We start from the raw sequence: 18,002 nt of genomic DNA on the forward strand, positions 1-18,002 counted from the left end.
CCAAGAATGCTCTAAAGCAGGGCTGTCCAATGTTTTGGCTTCCCTGGGCCACTTTGGAAGAAGAATAATTGTCTTGGGCCACACAAAAATTCGCTAACACAAACAATATAGCTAATGAACTTTAAAGAAAAATAGCAAAAAAATCTCATAATATTTTTAAAAACTTTACGATTTTGTTTTGGGCTGCATTCAAAGCCATCCTGGGCCGCATGTGGCCTGCGGGTTGCACAAGCTTGCACTAAAGGTCAAATGGTATATGTATGACAGCACTTTGAATAATACACAAGACTTCACAGATACAACTCATTAAATTATTAATCAACTACCTGTTGAATGAATTAACGTATTTTGCGTTCTTGCTTTCACAGAGCATTGAAAGAGTAGTAAGGAGACAGACCTTTCTGCATTTACGAGAACCACCTACGCCGGGCGTGGTGGCTCATGCCTATAATCCCAGCACTTTGGGAGGCTGAGGCGGGTGGATCACCTGAGGTCGGGAGTTTTAGACCAGCCTGACCAACATGGAGAAACCCCGTCTCTACTAAAAATACAAAATTAGCTGGGCGTGGTGGCACATGCCTGTAATCCCAGCTACTTGGGAGGCTGAGGCAGGAGAAGTGCTTGAACCCGGGAGGCGGAGGTTGCGGTGAGCCCAGATTGTGCCATTGCACTCCAGCCTGGGCTACAGGAGCGAAATTCTGTCTAAAAAAAAAAAGAACCACCTATTATCCAAATCTGTTGGCCATTATATAAAATTATTAAATTATTAAAAGTGTACAAAATCTGATGAGTATATTTTATGTTGATAGAATATATGCCAGAAGAACACATGTGATTGGCCCAGTTTTGTTTTTATTACAAGAGTAGTTACAGGTGCAGATTAAGTGTCCCCAGTTCTCTTCCTGCTAAGTGAGTAAGTATCTAATGTTATCTTTAAGTATATTTTGAGGAACCCTGGGAAGCCTGAATACTCTTTTAGGGGGTCTGTTTGCGTGAGGCTAGATTTGATCCATATACTTGAATCAAAGGAGTATATTGCAACTAGTTGAATGTAGAGGCAGATAATTAAATCAAGGTCTCTTCTGTTAAGCTATTTTGCATTTTCAGAATTTAGAAAGAAATACACAAAAATATAAAATAGTACCACTTTTATTAAAAATAGTTATTTTAGTAAAAATAGAACTAGCATATGATCTATCAGTCCCACTATTGAATATATATCCAAGGGAAATAAATCAGAATCTCGAAGAGATATTTGCACTGCTGTTTATTGCAGCACCATACAGAATAGCCAAGATACAGAATCAACTTAGCGGCCATCAACAGGTGAATGGATAAAGAAAACTTGGTTATACACAGTGGAATACTATTCAGCCATGAGAAGGATGAGATCCTTTCTTTCATAGCAACATAGATGAGCCTGGTGGGACATTATGTTAAGTGAAATACATCAAACATTGGAAGATAAATATTGCATGTTCTCACTCACGTAGAAGCTAAAAAAATTGATCTCAATCAACGTAGAGAGTAGAATAGTGGTACTAAAGCTGGGAGGGAAAGGTAGAGAGGAGGGAATAGGGAGAGGTTGGTTAATGGATACACAATTACAACTAGATAGGAGGAATAGGTTCTGTTGTTGTATAGCACAGTAGGGTGACTGTAGTAAATAAAAATTGTATTTTGTCAAACAGCTAGAAGAGAGGATGTTGAATGTTACCAACACTCAAAGGTTTGAGGCGGTGGATACAATAATTACCCTATTTTGATCATTACACATTGTATACACATATTGAAATACCACACTATACCCCATAAATATGTACAACTATGTGCTAATTAAAAATGTTTTGCTTTTTAAATAATTTAGTTTTCATTAAAATGTTATTTGTGTTGACATATAATAGGTGCTGGTCTGTTTTGCATTATGAAAAAGTTATAATGCCTCACAAATTTGAATCACATCTGAAGATGCCAATTTGTTTTAACAGACAACCCTTAGGGTTTTATCTAGGGGACATATAAAACTGAGATATTTTGACAGGATAGCATTTTGTTTTTACTTCTCGTTATGACAGTTTGTTTTTAAGCACTCTTTTTTCAATTCTGTTTATGCTTTTTTCGTTCGTCAGGTTTGTTTAAGCATCTTAAACACGTGGCATGGAAGACCAGAAGAGAAGTGGAATCCTCAGACCTCAAGCTTTTTGCAAGTAAACAAAATTTCTCTGACATTTTCACTTAAGAAATAAAGAACTGTGTAGTATTTTAAAAAATTTTTAGTGACCAAGAATAAATATAGTAAACCTAAAAAAAGATAGATTACTAGGAAATGCATATTAAATAGCTTATAGGTGAGAAGTTAGCATAATGGAGTCTCATCTTATGTGTAATCTAAAATCTCAAGTTGGGGCATAAAACAAAAATTGAGTTTAGCCAAAACTCCCATCAAAAAAAATTCCAGGCCAGGCGCAGTGCCCACCGTTACCTGTGTTTCTTGATTTCTGTTCCTGAACAGATTATGAGAGCCTCTTACAGTTGTGCAGATGCTAACATGAAGCTGAAAAGGAGAGGGGGCACAGGTGTGTTGGCACAGCACTTTGGGAGGCTGAGATGGGTGGATCATTTGAGGTCAGGAGTTCGAGACCAGCTTGGCCAACGTGGTAAGACCCGCATCTCTACTAAAAATACAAAATACAATTAGCCGGACGAGGTGGTGCGTGCCTATAATCCCAGCTACTAGGAGGCGCCTCTGAGGTAGGAGAATCGCTGGAACCCCGGAGGAGGAGATTGCAGTGAGCCGAGATCACGGCACTACACTCTAGCCTGGGTGACAGAGGGAGACTCTATCTAAAAAATAAAAATCAATAAATAAAAACGAAAGGGACAGTAAATTTGGCCTGTGAATAAAAGTCTTTACTCTGAAAATATCAACAAATTGACTCAAATCATGAGCCTACATTATGGATTAAAAATAAATATTTATTATTACATCAATATAAATATATGTATATATATATCATATATACTGTATGTTTTTATGTTAATTACCAATTGATTTTTAACTCAGATTCTAAGAAAACACTTTAGCTTGGTATAAGTAAAATAAATACTACTTTTTGGTTTGATCCAAATAGCTTTTTAAGTGACGTTCTGTTGATCAGACAGTTCATGCTGGCTGCTTTTTTGCATGCCTCTAATATATTTATAGAAATTATTTTTAGTGTAGAATTGATTTTGTTCTATATTATAAAGTTATGTAATTCTCTCATTCATCCTGTAACACAAGTAGATCTTATGCCCCTTTTACAGATGATGAAAATATAGGTTCTAAATGTACAGATAACTTTACTGTGATCCCTATGACTTCAAATATTGTACACTGTTTCTCAGGCCTAAAGTTTTATTTTATAATACTGAAAATCAGATTTTTTTAAAAGAGGAAATCCTTCATGCCAAGGGTTTACTGTTTCTCTGCTTATTTCCGGCCTACAGTAAAATGTAGTGTGCATTAAAATGACTGTGTCCAGTTCAGACAATCCAGTGGTCCAGAAATTCCCTAAAATATGTATTATAGCTATTAAATAGCTAAGTTCACTATTGAAAAATAAAGTGGCATTTATACTCTTCCAAAAAGGTAATGTCTGCTGGGCCACCCAGTGGTAAGATAACCCATGTCATAAAGTATTTTTTGAATTTAATTGCAGGAAGTATTGATCTCTGATAATCTTTTGTTGTTATTCTTATCAAATACAAACTTTATATTTTTCTCTCAGCAGACAATAAATTATAGCCACATTTATTTCTCAGATGTAATTTTTTGTTCCTTTTTTCTGGTACACAAAACACTCATTCTTTTTTGTTTAACTTTTATGTTAGGTTCAGGGGTTCCACTGCAGGTTTGTTATATAGGTAAACTCACGTCACAAGGGTTTGCTATACAGATTATTTTGTCACTCTGGTACTAAGCGTAGTATGCAATAGTTATTTTTTTCTTTTTTCTTTTTTCTTTTTCTTTTCTTTTCTTTTTTTTTTTTTTGAGACAGGGTCTCACTCTGTGGCCCAGGCTGGGCACAACCTTGGCTTACTACAACCTCTGCGTCTCGGGTTCAAGCTGTGTTTCCACCTTAGCCTCCTGAGTAGCTGAGATCACAGACATGCACCACCACACCCGGCTAATTTTTGTATTTTTAGTAGAGACAGGGTTTCACCATGTTGACCAGGATGGCCTCGAGCCCCTGATCTCAAGTGATCTGTCTGCCTCAGCCTCCCAAAGTGTTAGGATTACAGGCGTTAGCCAACGTGCCCAGCCAGTAGTTATTTTTTTCTGATCTTTTCCCTCCTCCCACGTTTCACCATCAAATAGGCCCCAGCGTCTGCAAAATATTTTATGCTTCCTTTAGTGGGCTTTGCTTTGCTGTTTTAAACAAAATACGCCGTGAATCTAAAGTAATTTTTAAATTGTTATAACTGACTGAGATCTATAAAACCATATTGTGTCTCAAAGGAGATGAGGTTAAATAAATAAAAGAGTCCTTTTTTATAAATTTGTAATGAATATTTAATTTCTTTCTGTGCTTTTGTACAAAAATGCAATTATACCCTACTTATATTAACAGAAGAGGACAATTATTTAAGAGGGAAGAGGACAGTAACTAATAACTATGCCTTTGAAACTTACCTCAGAAGTGTCAGTAAATGTGAGATGTCTGGCCGGGCGAGGTGACTCTTGCCTGTAATTTCAGCACTTTGGGAGGCAGGCAGATCACTTGAGGCCTGGAGTTCAAGAACAGACTGGCCAATATGGAGATACCCCATCTCTACTAAAAATACAAAAATTAGCGGGATGGGGTCACGGGCACCTGTAACCCCAGCTACTTGGGAGGCTGAGGCAGAAGAATTGCTTGAACCCGGGAGGCAGAGGTTGCAGTGAGCTGAGATCGCACCACTGCACTCCAGCCTGGGCAACAGAGCAAGACACTGTCTCAAAAAAATAAATAAATAAAAATTAAAAATATGAGATCTTTATCTCAGAAATAATATGAATTAAAGTTTTTCCCATAGTTGAGCTTGGCATCAGTATGGTCACTTTCTATTTTGGGTCAAATACGTTACTTTCGAGTACTCATTTTTAAAGTTCTCTTTAACTTTGACTTATAAGATGCATATCCATGGGACTGTTTAATCGTTGTGCCCAACAAAAGTGTAATTGCTGTTCTTTTTCATTTATGAATTGCGTAGATAATATCTGATGTTTTCCTGCCTTCAAAGATGTTACTTTATTGACTTCTATAGATACATTAACTGGAAGTACTGTATTCGCTAGAAATCACCTCTCTTAATATATGTTACATCTGGGACAAGCCTTCTAGTAAATAAGTGGTGGTTTGGAAGTGGTCTTAGACCATAAGACCATCTTGTCAATCAGAATTTCTGGCCGGGTATGATGGCTCAGACCTGTAATCTCAGCACTTTGGGAGGCCAAGGTGGGCAGATCACCTGAGGTCAGAAGTTCGAGACCAGCCTGGCCAACATGGCAAAACCCCGTCTCTACTAAAAATTAAAAAAAAAAATTAGCCCTGCTTGGTGATGCACGCCTATAGTCCTAGCTACTTGAGAGGCTGAGGAAGGAGAATCACTTGGACCCAGGAGACGGAGGTTGCAATGAACCAAGATTGTACCATTGCACTGCAGCCTGGGCAACAGAGCAAGACTCCATCTCAAAGAAATAAATAAGAATTTCTAATAAGGTTTTTGTGATACTGTAGCAGTTAATTGTCCTTGGAATAAAAATTTAAAATGGTCTCAGGCATAGTTTTTTTATAAGTGAGTATTGTTAAGAGTGCATGGCTAGGCCAGGCACAGTGGCTGACGCCTGTAATCCCAGCACTTTGGGAGGCCGAGGCAGGCAGATCACCTGAAGTCAGGAGTTCAAAACCAGCCTGGCCAACATGATGAAACCCCATCTCTACTAAAAAATACAGAAATTAGTCTGGCGTGGTGGCAGGCATCTGTAATCCCAGATTCTCGGGAGGCTGAGACAGGAGAATCGCTTGAATCTGGGAGGCGGAGGTTGCAGGGAGCCAAGATCATGCCATTGCACTCCAGCCTGGGTGACAAGAGTGAAACTCAGTCTTATTAAAAAAAAAAAAAAAATAGTACATGGCTAGTTTTATGCTCCTTAAGAACAGTTTGAGCAGAATGTTGCTATGAGTTGTTTAAACTCATAAAACAACTAAAAAAAAAATAAACTAAACTAAAAAAACGAAATTTTTTTAGCATTTTTTGGAAATAGATTCTTCATATCTATTATTATTATTATCATCTATCTTCATATCTATTATTATTCAAGAATTCAAGAGTAAAAACAGATGTGTAAGTATTACTTATGGCTCTATTGTGCCTAATTTTATTTTGCCTTTATAATGAAATATTTCAATGTTATAATCATAAACATTGATTTTATTGTGATAGAAATTTGTGGAAACACATATTAAAGAAGAGTCTTTGTGGATAAAGCAGGATATCAGTTAACCCACAGTAAAAATGTCCCATCATAGCTGTTCTTTTCCTTTATTCTTTAGGTGTTGGTGTCTGTCCAGTCCCTTATATTAGTAGCTGAGCCTTATTTTAATGAACCGGGATATGAACGGTCTAGAGGCACTCCCAGTGGCACACAGAGTTCTCGAGAATATGATGGAAACATTCGACAAGCAACAGTTAAGTGGGCAATGCTAGAACAAATCAGAAACCCTTCACCATGTTTTAAAGAGGTATGTTCAATAAAATTAGTGAAATACTTTGTTAAAGACATTTTACAATATAGGCTGGGCATGGTGGCTCATGCCTGTAATCTCAGCACTTTGGGAGGTCAAGGCAGGTGGATCACTTCAGGTCAGGAGTCTGAGACCAGCCTGGCCAATATGGCGAAACCGCATTTCTACTTAAAAAAAGAAAAAGATAAATTAGCCAGGCATGGTGGCAGGCGCCTGTAATCTCAGCTACTTGGAACGTGAGGTTGAACCTGGGAGGCGGAAGTTGCAGAGAGCTGAGACTGCACCACTGCACTCCAGCCTGGGTGACAGCAGAGCAAGACTCCATCTCCAAAAAAAAAAAAAAAAAAAAAAAAAGACATTTTAAAATATAGTTTGTTAGTATTCTATTTGCCTTTATATGTATCTAGTATATGAAACTGCAGGTTTTAGAGTTAATCCCAAAGATCATTAATAAGTCTGGACAATATAGCAAGACCCCATCTCTGCAAAAAGTTTAAAAATTTAGCTGGGCATGGTGGCACCTGTAGTCTTAGATACTCAGTGGGCTAAGGCAGGAGGTTTGCCTGAGCCCACGAGTTTGAGGCTGCAGTAAGCTGTGTTCACATGACTGCACTCCAGCCTAGGTGACAGAGTCTCAGAAAAAAAAAAAATGGTAGTAGATAGTACAGATGAAGTATAAAACTATCTATATTCTAAAAGACATCTGACTAAATTTTTGAGAAGTTTTTTTCCTTTCCTTTCCTTTTCCTCTCCTCTCCCTCTGCTCTCCTTTCCTTTCCTCCTGTCCCATCCCGTTTCGTTCTCGTTGCCCAGGCTGGAGTGCAATGGCATGATCTTGGCTCACTGCAACCTCCACCTCCCAAGTTCAAGCTATTCTCCTGCCTCAGCCTCCCAAGTAGCTGGGATTACGGGCATGTGGCACCACGCCTGGCTAATTTTTTTGTATTTTTAGTAGAGACGGGGTTTCACCATGTTGGCCAGGCTGATCTTGAACTCCTGACCTCAGGTGATCCACCTGCCTTGGCCTCCCAAAGTGCTGGGATTACAAGCGTGAGCCACCGCCCCGGCCTATTCTTTATTTTTATTAGTTACCCTTCTACTAGCAAACTCTCTAAATATGTTTCTGATATATTTCTCATTGAACTGTTTTTTATTGAAGATGGTTTCTAAAGTTGTCTTGCAAATAGAAATTTTGCCCTTATTCTAATGTGTATATATAAGGAGAATGCCATTTCTTTTTTTTATTTTTTTGAGATAGGACTTGGCTCTGTTGCCTGTGCTGGAATACAGTGGCGGAATCTCGGCTTACTGCACCCTCCGCCTCCCCGGTTCAAGTGATTCTCATGCCTCAGCCTCCCGAGTAGCTGGGACTGTGTGCGCATACCACCGCAACTGGCTAATTTTTTTTGTATTTTTTAGTAGAGGCCAGTTTTCACCATGTTGGCCAGGCTGGTCTCGAATGCCTGACCTCAGGTGATCCGCCCGCCTCGGCCTTCCAGACTGTTGGAATTACAGGCGTGAGCCACTGCGCCTGGCCACGTTTCCTTTTCTTTAGGAAAAAAATTGGATGATATGAGTTTCCAAAACCTGTATTAATACACTGAAGTGGTTTTTTTCACGTCATCCTGAAGTGTGGCTCTGTGTGTGTGTGTGTGTGTGTGTGTGTAGCTTTTTGCCTGTGATTAGTTGTCTCTCCATAGTATACCTAAATAGAATTATACTTTTCACCTGCCATATCAAATGACGTTAGCATCACAACTTGCTGTGATTGTGTCCAGAAACATTTTTCTTTCTTAAAATTGTTTCACTTGATCATTAATTTCTTAAATTGTGCTGGAAAGTTAACATTTTAGAGGAAAAAATGGTATATTTACCTGATATAAAATTGATCTTTAATATAACTATGCAGATGTTCTACATGAATACTATGAAGCCACCTCCTTCATCAGATAGCACTGATGAATATTTCTTTTTCTTTGGCTTTTGCTGTTACTGAGTAAATTTATATTCCAGTGTCCTTTGAATGACAAAGTTGGATACTTTACTTTTGCAAAGATCGCGCCACGGCACTCCAGCCTGGGCAGCACGGTGAGACTCTGTCTCAAAAAAAAAAAAAAAAAAGTAATTTGTTTTATGCATATCATTTTTTTCAGGAAGGATAAACACAGGGAACTCAGAGAAGGGGATGACTTTTACAAAAAGCAAATATGTATAATTTGAGACAATCAACTTTCTCATTCTTTAGAACCTAGCTTGCGTTAAAGGGGCCACTCCTTGGCCATGTATGCTTTCCCAGTTTTCCTAATCAAATGCCACTCGCTACTCTTTGAATGCCCTGGGCTTTTTGCTTTTGTTTATTGTTGTTCTTTAAAATATATTTTTTTGGTACACTCCCGTCCCATCTGATTCTGTTGTTACCACTGTTCTTCATTTAAAGCTGTGTCATACTTACTTCTGTATCCCAGAGGCTTCAAACCCAATAACTATTAAATGTGGTGGGATCGTATTGGTGTTTGACATTCATTCCCAGAGCTTTCTAGTGATTTTCCCTTTATAGGTTTGATTGTCTGTTCTTTAGGGCAGACATGCTCCCTGGGCAATGCTCAACCAGAATACAGAGCAATGTTTCCAAATTGATAATTGTTTTCTAATTTAAATTTGTCAGAAATAGACTCTTACTACTATATGTTGGTAGAAATTTTACTCAGTTTTTCAAAGATAGAATTGAAAGATAGAATTTAAAAATCGCAAATGTAAATCACAGTAATAATAAGGAAATTTAACTTCCTAAAATAAAATCCCATCTATAAATTAAACAGAAGATAAAATTAAGCAAGTAAGAATAGTGCCATTTCTGGGGATTTCTGTGTGAATGCCTTTGGCATTTAGAATATACTTATCTAGGTGTTCTTTGAGTTATCTTTTAAAGGCAGAAATTTCTCTGTTGTCAATACTTTTTAAATCTTTTCGCCTGGTTACTTATTTAGCATTTGCCTTCTGAGTATATTGTATCATATGTGTCTTGTGGTCTCTGGACAGGATTAATTTTCCAAGTGTCTGACCACAATTGTACACTCTTTTCTGCTATAAATTTGTTTTCTCTTTTCTCTCCTCCCCTCCTCTCTTCTTTTCTTTTCTTTTTGATGGAGTCTTGCTCTGTCGCCCAGGCTGGAGTGCAGTGGCGGGATCTCAGTTCACTGCAACCTCTGCCTCCTGGGTTCAAGCAATTGTCCTGCCTCAGCCTCCCAAGTAGCTGGCACTACAGGTGCCTGCCACCATGCCTGGCTAATTTTTGTATTTTTAGTTCTGACCTTGTGATTCGCCTGCCTTGATCTCCCAGAATGCTGGGATTACAGGCGTGAGCCACCACACCGGGCCATAAATTTCATATATTTCAACACGTCATATCAAATCATGAGCTTGATTTTTCCCTGCTAATATTGTAGAGTTGATTAAATTGCCTTTTTTTTTTTGTTTGAGATGGAGGCTTGCTCTGTCGCCCAGGCTGGAGTGCAGTGGCGCGACCTTGGCTCACTGCAAGCTCCACCTCCCGGGTTCACGCCATTCTCTTGCCTCAGCCTCCCAAATTGAGTTTTATGGATAGAAAAACATTGCAGTGTCTGTATATTTATTTCATTAAATGTATTTATAATAATATTCTAAATATTAATTTAAATGTATTTATAGAATAAATTATTTAAATGTATTTATAATACATTTTACTTCTTTGTAATGTCATTTACTGTGTCTTTTAAATTTGACTGTAAACACTGCTTGTTCTCCTGTTTACTTTTTCTCAAGGTAATACACAAACATTTTTACTTGAAAAGAGTTGAGATAATGGCCCAATGTGAGGAGTGGATTGCGGATATCCAGCAGTACAGCAGTGATAAGCGGGTAGGCAGGACTATGTCTCACCATGCAGCAGCTCTCAAGGTGAGTAAGCCTCTCTAACAGGAGCCTTGTTGCTTTAAGAGTTGTGTAATTATTGACAGAACCATGCCTACCAGAAGATAATGGGAGGGAGGGAATTAAAGAAACATAATATGTATTTTCAGTTCAGAGGAATAAATTGTTACTCAGAAGTCTATAGAAAAGATACATTTTTTTTTGGTAGTAGATTGACAGTTCCTAAAATAAAAAGTGGGTCCAAGGACTGAGACAACAGAGTTTTGTAAAGTTCCTTGAAGATAATGATGACAAGATGTGCTCCATGAATGCCTTTTCCTTTTTCTTTTTTTCTTTTGAGACTGGATTTCATTCTGTTGTCCCAGCCTAGAGTGCAGTGGTGGCATCATGACTCTCTGTAACCTTGAACTCCTGGGCTCAAGCAGTCCTCCCACCTCAGCTTCCCATGTAGCTAGGACTACAGGTAGCTGCCACAGTGCCCAGTTAAATTTTTTTATTTTCAATTTTGTAGAGATGGGGTCTCACCCTGTTTCCTAGGCTAGGCTCAAGTGATCCTCCCACCTCAGCCACCCAAATCACTGGAATTATAGGCATGAGCAACCGTGCCAGACTTGAAGGACTTCTTTTATTCCCTTAGTCTTTCCCTAGGCCTCCTGCCTTCCAGAATTTTATTACTTGGAGTGATGAGGGAGATTTGAGTTGCAGATTCTCCCTCAGCTGATGGTGGCAGTGGCTGTGTTAGGGGAGAAAGCAGTTGTTTTCAGTTTGGACGTTCATAGAATGGAAATGTGAAATGTGATTGGTTTGGAAGATTTTCTGTCTACCCACGGAGATCTTTCTTTGTAACAGCCTTCCTTTTTTCCTGCATCTGAATGTCTTTACTCATTTCATCCTCCACCAATATCCTCCCTTTTCTATCTTCAGGTTTTTCCATTTCTACTGGCTTGTTATCTTCTAACTTTAAAGCTGTCTTCACTTCAAACAACTAGTTGATGATAAGGATTTGTTAGTTTTTTAGGTGTGATTTTTAAAAAGATCCCTATCTTTTCAGGACATGTACAGAAATATTTGTGAATGACAAAGTGTATGATGTCTGGGAATTACTTCAAAATAAAATGACAAGGGGAAAGTGTGGGAATATAGATGAAAGAAGATGGGCCATGAGTTGATAATGGTTGAAGCTGTGTGATAGATTCATGGGACTTCATTGTACTCTTCTGCCCACTTCTGCATATGTTTGAATTTTTTCACTATAAAAATGTTTTGAAAAAGAGAGAAAAACACTTGCAGAAAATTTCCCTAAGCTAGTTCTATTTTGCCCCTATTATTATGAAACAGATTGTCTTCTTTCACCGTCAGACTATAGCAGTTGACACTTCTTGCCTCCATTTTTTAACCTTTGTCTCACTAATCAACCTTATGCAGTTTGACTTCTATTTTACCAAAGTTACCATCTCTCCAGTTCTCAACGCCAGTGACCCTGGCTCACTTCTCCATTCACTTCATCTGCTCTCCCTCCTCCAGGCCTTTACACATGGTTTCCATTTTCCTCTACTTTTCAGCTCTTCTGCTTGCTCACCTCCATTCATATTTCAGCTTAAATTTCACTTCATGGAACCCTGCCTTGACTGGTTTGTTTGTTTGTTTGTTTGTTTGTTTCTGAGACACTGTCTCTCTCTGCCACTCAGGCATGATCTTGGCTCACTGCATCTTCCGCCTCCCTTGTTCAAGTGATTTATCTGCCTCAGCCTCCTGAGTAGCTGGGATTACAGGCATCTGCCACCAGACCTGGCTAACTTTTGTATTTTTATTTTCATTATTTATTTTATTTATTTATTTATTTTAGATGTAATCTTGCTCTGTTGCTCAGCCTGGAGTGCAGTGGCTTGATCTCAGCTCACTGCAGCCTTAACCTCCTGGGTTCAAGCTATTCTCCTGCCTCAGCCTCCTGAGTATCTGGGATTACAGTCACCTGCCATCATGCCCAGCTAATTTTTGCATTTTTAGTAGAGACGGGGTTTCACCATGTTGGCCAGGCTGGTCTCGAACTCCAGGCTGGTCTTGAACTCCTGACCTCAAGTGAGCCACCGCGCCCCGCCTGACTGATAGACTATTAGATCATTTCAGTATAAGCATTTCTAACCCTCTGCGTCTACCTGTTAAAACACTCATAACATTTGTCTAATGTTTGTCTTTTGTACTATACTTTTCATCTGTAGACTATCTTGGCTTTTCTGCTTATACTCTTCTTAATTCTTTCAGTGTGTTTTCCTTTTTCTTTTTTCCTGAGCAATTGTTTACCTGAAGGCTTACTTTTTGGCCTTCAGAACTATTTTTTTTCTGTCTTTCTGTTTTTCCTTCATTGTGTCTGTAACCCTGACTTTGGCCATTTACTCTCTAAAAGTGACACTTCAAACTGTTGTCAGCTGTTAGCTTTCTCTTGAGTTGTATTACTGACATTTTTTACATAGATACCCTGTCATCATCTCCTTAAAGGAGATTTTCCTCAAATCAAGTTTTCTAGCTTTCTATTTACTTAATTTTACTTGATTTTAAACCATTTTTCTCTGTCTTAGAATCTTCAAGTATTATGTATCTCATCCTTCATCCAGCACCCCTGGTCAGTACTAGGTCCTGTCAGTATTACTTCATGAGGGGACTGTCCTCTCCCCAACCCATGATTTCTGTTGAGTTCCCACAGCTTTGTCTGTTTGTCCAGCTTCCTTGTACCAGGTTCTCCCCCTTTCAGTTCCTTCTTTAGTGCATTACCAGGCTGATCTTCCCCAAATATGTATTTAGATATGTTTTTCACTTACACAAAACTGGCTCAAGTCCAGCTTCTTTTCATTCAGTGTCTTGCTTATATCCGCATTCCTTTATTTCTTCTGTGTCACTGTCACCTGGAATTTTCCATCTCTGAATTAATCCAAATTTATATCATTTTAACTGTACATTTGCTGTTGAGTGCTACACAAGAAAAATACACAATTGGCCAGGCGCAGTGACTCACGCCTATAATCCCAACACTTTGGGAGGCCAAGGCGGGCAGATCACTTGTGGTCAGGAGTTCAAGACCAGCCTGGCCAACATGGTGAAACCCCAACTCTATTAAAAGAAAATACAAAAATTAGTCAAGTGTGGTGGCTCATGCCTGTAGTCCCAGCTGCTGGGGAGGCTGAGGCAGGAAAATCGCCTGAACCCGGGAGGTGGAGGTTGCAGTGAGCTGAGATTGCGCCATTGCTCTCCAGCCTGGGCAACGAGTGTAAAATTCTGTCTTAAAAAATAAATGAAAAGTATGTAGTTGTTTAGCTTGACTCCACAATAAAATCATAGTATCCCTGTATTAGGCTGTTCTTTCTTTGCTATAAAGAAATCCTTGAGACTGGGTAATTTATAACAAAAAGACATTCAATGGGCCCATGGTTCTGTAGGCTGTACAGGAAGCATGGAACTGGCATTTACTCTGCTTCTGTAGAGGCCTCAAGGACCTTATACTCATGGTGGAAGATGAAGCGGAATCACGAAGGCGTAGGGGTGTGGGAGGTGCCACACTTTACAACAACCCGATCTCGTGATAATTCACTCACTATCTCAGGACAGCACCAATCCATGAGGAAACTGTCCCCATGATCCCCATTTCTCTCACCTCCAACACAGGGATTACATTTCAACATGAGATTTGGGCAGGGACAAATATCCAAACTAGATCAATCCCCAACCTTAACTCAGTTCTCATGATTGCCAGATTTTTCTTTCTCCTTCCCTGGTTAGTGATTTCACCTGTTGTCCACAGTGGAAGGAAAATCAAGGCTAGGGAAATTCTCACTTACCGGCATGTAAATGTGCTTTGAAACTTTGCAAATAGCTGCAAGGTAGAGTTGTTTTTTCCTATTTATGTGTCTTATAATTTCAGCCAGAATTTTAGACTCCATAAGCTTAAAGATTTTATCCTCATTCTACTCATTGCCTTTATGTTGTTGGTATTTAACACAGTGCCTCATACATAAAAATTGTTCTGTAAATAAATGTTGTTTAATTTTCAAAGTCAGCTGTTGACACTATTTAGTTTTTATTTATTTTATTTTATTTTATTTTTGAGATGGAGTCTCGCTCTGCTGCCAGGCTGGAGTGCAGTGCTGTGCGATCTCAGCTCACTGGAACCTCTGCCTCCCTGGTTCAAGCGATGCTCCTGCCTCAGCCTCCCAAGTACCTGGGACTACAGGCACACACCACCACACCCAGCTAATTTTTGTATTTTTTGTAGAGACGGGGTTTCACCATGTTGGCCAGGATGGTCTCGATCTTTTGACCTCGTGATCTGCCCGCCATGGCCTCCGAAAGTGCTGGGATTACAGGCGTGAGGCATCAGACCCGGCCGACACAATTTTAAAAGCCTTTGGTGTGATTATTTAAGGTCATTTCTCTCTCACCAGAAAATTATGAACCAAATCTTTGCATGTGTTAGACAACCAGCCACTCCCAATTAACATGCCTATATCCTTACGTAAACTGCAATATAGAGCAAAGCAAAGTTTATTTAATCTCTATAGATCTTCTTTTTAACTCAATTTTGTAAAAAGTTCTAATGATAGGCTGGGTGCAGTTCTTTGTTCTTCTATGATCTTTTTAACTTAATTTTTTAAAATTCTATGATCTTCTTTTTAACTTAATTTTTTAAAAAGTTCTAATGATAGGCTGGGTGCAGTTCTATAGGCTGGGTGAATCTGGGTACAGATTCACACCTGTAATCCCAGCACTTTGGGAGTCCAAGGCAGGTGGATTGCTTGAGATTAGGAGTTCGAGACCAGCCTGGCCAAGAAGGCAAAACCCCGTCTCTACCAAAAACACAAAAAAATTAACTGGGCATGGTGGTGCATGCCTGTAATAGCAGTTGCTCGGGAGGCTGAGGCATGAGAATTGCTTGCGTCTGGGAGGTGGAGTTTGCAGTGAGCCGAGATTGTGCCTCTGCACTCTAGCCTGGGTGACACAGTGAGACCTTGTTCTCAAAAAAAAAAAAAAAAAAAAAAAAATTCTAATGATACAATTATTTCTAAGGTTTATTCTGAGCATTAAGTGGGAAAATTAGTGTGAACATTTGCAGACATTTTACATATGGCCTACTACCTGATAAATATTTTTTTCATTCGCTAAAGTATCAGTGGATTTATTTTAATTTACGGATTTGTCTTTCTCTCAAAAACGTTTAGCCAGAGTCAGCATGTATGACAAATCAAGGGATTACGGTGTTTAATTTGAAAGAGTGTATAGGCTGGGCACAGTGGCTCACACCTGCAATCCCAGCTCTTTGGGAGGCCAAGGCAGGTGGATCGCTTGGACCAGGAGTTTGAGACCAGCTTGGGCAAAATGGCGAAACCCCATCTGTGTAAAAAATTAGCTAGGCATGGTGCTTCATTCCTGTAGTCCCAACTACTTGGGAGGCTGAGGTGGGAGGATTGCTTAAGCCCAGGAGGTTGAGGCTGCATGAGCTGTGATTGTGCCGCTGCTCTCCAGCCTGGATGACAAAGCAGAGCTATCTTAAAACAAAATAAGAGAATATATGTATGTAGGCCGGGTGCATTGGCTCACGCCTGTAATCCCAGCACTTTGGGAGGCCGAGGCAGGTGGATGACAGTCAAGAGATCAAGACCAGCCTGGCCAACATAGTGAAACCCCATCTCTACTAAAAATACAAAAAATTAGCTGGTTGTGGTGGCGCCCACCTGTACTCCCAGCTACTCAGAAGGCTGAGGCAGAAGAATCACTTGAACCCGGGAGGCGGAGGTTGCAATGAGCTGAGATCGCGCCAGTGCACTCCAGCCTGGGCAACAGAGCGAGACTCCGTCTCAAAAAAAAAAGAGTATATGTATCTAATAATGTCCTTTAAATTGTCAGTAATGCTGTTTCTGTGACAGCTTGGCAGCATGGGTAGGATCTACTGGTGGGTTACTGAGGTCTTTTCAGCAACATCGGTTACTTTGAGGTTAAGGATTCTTGTCAGTTTTGCTTACCTACTATATCAAGTGCCTGTAACAGTAGCTTGCATAAGGAGGGGCTCAGTAAATATTTGTAGGCTTAATGCTTTGGGCTTTGTTGAAATTCAGTTCCTGCCTCAAATGATGTTGTGCTAGAGGGTTTGCAGTTCTAACATTAGTCCTTTTCTCCTGCATAGCGTCACACTGCTCAGCTCCGCGAAGAGTTGCTGAAACTTCCCTGCCCTGAAGGCTTGGATCCTGACACTGACGATGCCCCAGAGGTGTGCAGAGCCACAACAGGTGCTGAGGAGACTCTAATGCATGATCAGGTTAAACCCAGCAGCAGCAAAGAACTCCCCAGTGACTTCCAGTTATGAGCTGCATTGATGTGGACTTCATAGACACAAAGGCTTCGAAGCACAAGCCAAATATGTCAATATTTGTATGTAAGAAACTAATTATGTAATAGGTAATGAAACTGAAACTATACTATGCCCTTAAGGAGATCCAGTTTAATTCAAGGTGATCTTTTATTTACCTGTACAGGAGTGTAAACTTTTTTGTGCTTTTATTTTTCAATTGTGAGAACCACTGATTGGTATGTTCAACAAATTTGTGTATACAAAGAAATGGATAAATCACTGCTATATAAGGGAAACTACCTTAGGAAAGAATGTTTACTGAATGTTTATTTTATTTTATTTTTTTTTTACTATAGAGTGAGGGGTTGTTAACAAAGAATATATATTGGTCATTCTTACAACTACTATTTAAAGTCAGCAACTTTTCACTGAATTTGATAGATTTTATGTTTGGCCATATCTTCATGCTCACATTTGATTTCTGAAGACCTCCTACATACACTTCAATAAAAGTTAAATGGACATACTCCCTCTTTTTTGATTTACTGGTACATTTTTAAAATAATAAATCTGCCATAAAATGCATTATATCTGGAGACTTGCACTTGTATGGATGAATTTATTACATTCAACATATTTAATTTTATGCCTTCTAATTCTAAGATGCAGAAAAAAATAAATGAACATGATTTTATTCTATGCCAACATTTGGGCCTCTGAATGTATCTGTTATTTGAATTTAAGTATTTGAAAAGGAATGGTCAATTTGAAAGTCATTCTAAACTGATTTTTTTTTTCTAAAGGGCTCCTTTTTTCCTGGACTATGTGGTTTTATGACTAAAGTCACATGTATGTATTAAACATTGAGGCTCTGTAGAGGAGAGAGGATGTACCTCTCTGGTGCTGTTACAGTACATTCTGTACCTGCCATACAGGCTCATTTTCATGCAAATTCTTCCTAGAGCCAAATAAATAAAGACTTAGGTGAA

The 18,002-nt window shown here is 39.2% G+C and overlaps 1 protein-coding gene across 50 annotated transcripts in view; it reads left to right on the forward strand.

Moving 5' to 3' along the window:
- BIRC6 (baculoviral IAP repeat containing 6) overlaps nucleotides 1–18,002 on the forward strand; it is a 261,856-nt gene extending 243,854 nt beyond the window's left edge. For all 50 annotated transcript variants that reach the window (XM_006712055.4, XM_005264451.5, XM_047445167.1 and 47 more), the window contains 4 exons: nucleotides 2,130–2,207; nucleotides 6,579–6,767; nucleotides 10,572–10,706; nucleotides 16,849–18,002. In XM_006712055.4, coding sequence (XP_006712118.1) covers nucleotides 2,130–2,207; nucleotides 6,579–6,767; nucleotides 10,572–10,706; nucleotides 16,849–17,028 — 582 coding nt within the window. In that variant the 3' untranslated portion in view covers nucleotides 17,029–18,002. The remainder of the gene's footprint in view (nucleotides 1–2,129; nucleotides 2,208–6,578; nucleotides 6,768–10,571; nucleotides 10,707–16,848) is intronic.

The sequence above is a fragment of the Homo sapiens genome, chromosome 2, assembly GCF_000001405.40.
Source record: "Homo sapiens chromosome 2, GRCh38.p14 Primary Assembly".
Taxonomy (NCBI): Eukaryota; Metazoa; Chordata; class Mammalia; order Primates; family Hominidae; genus Homo; species Homo sapiens.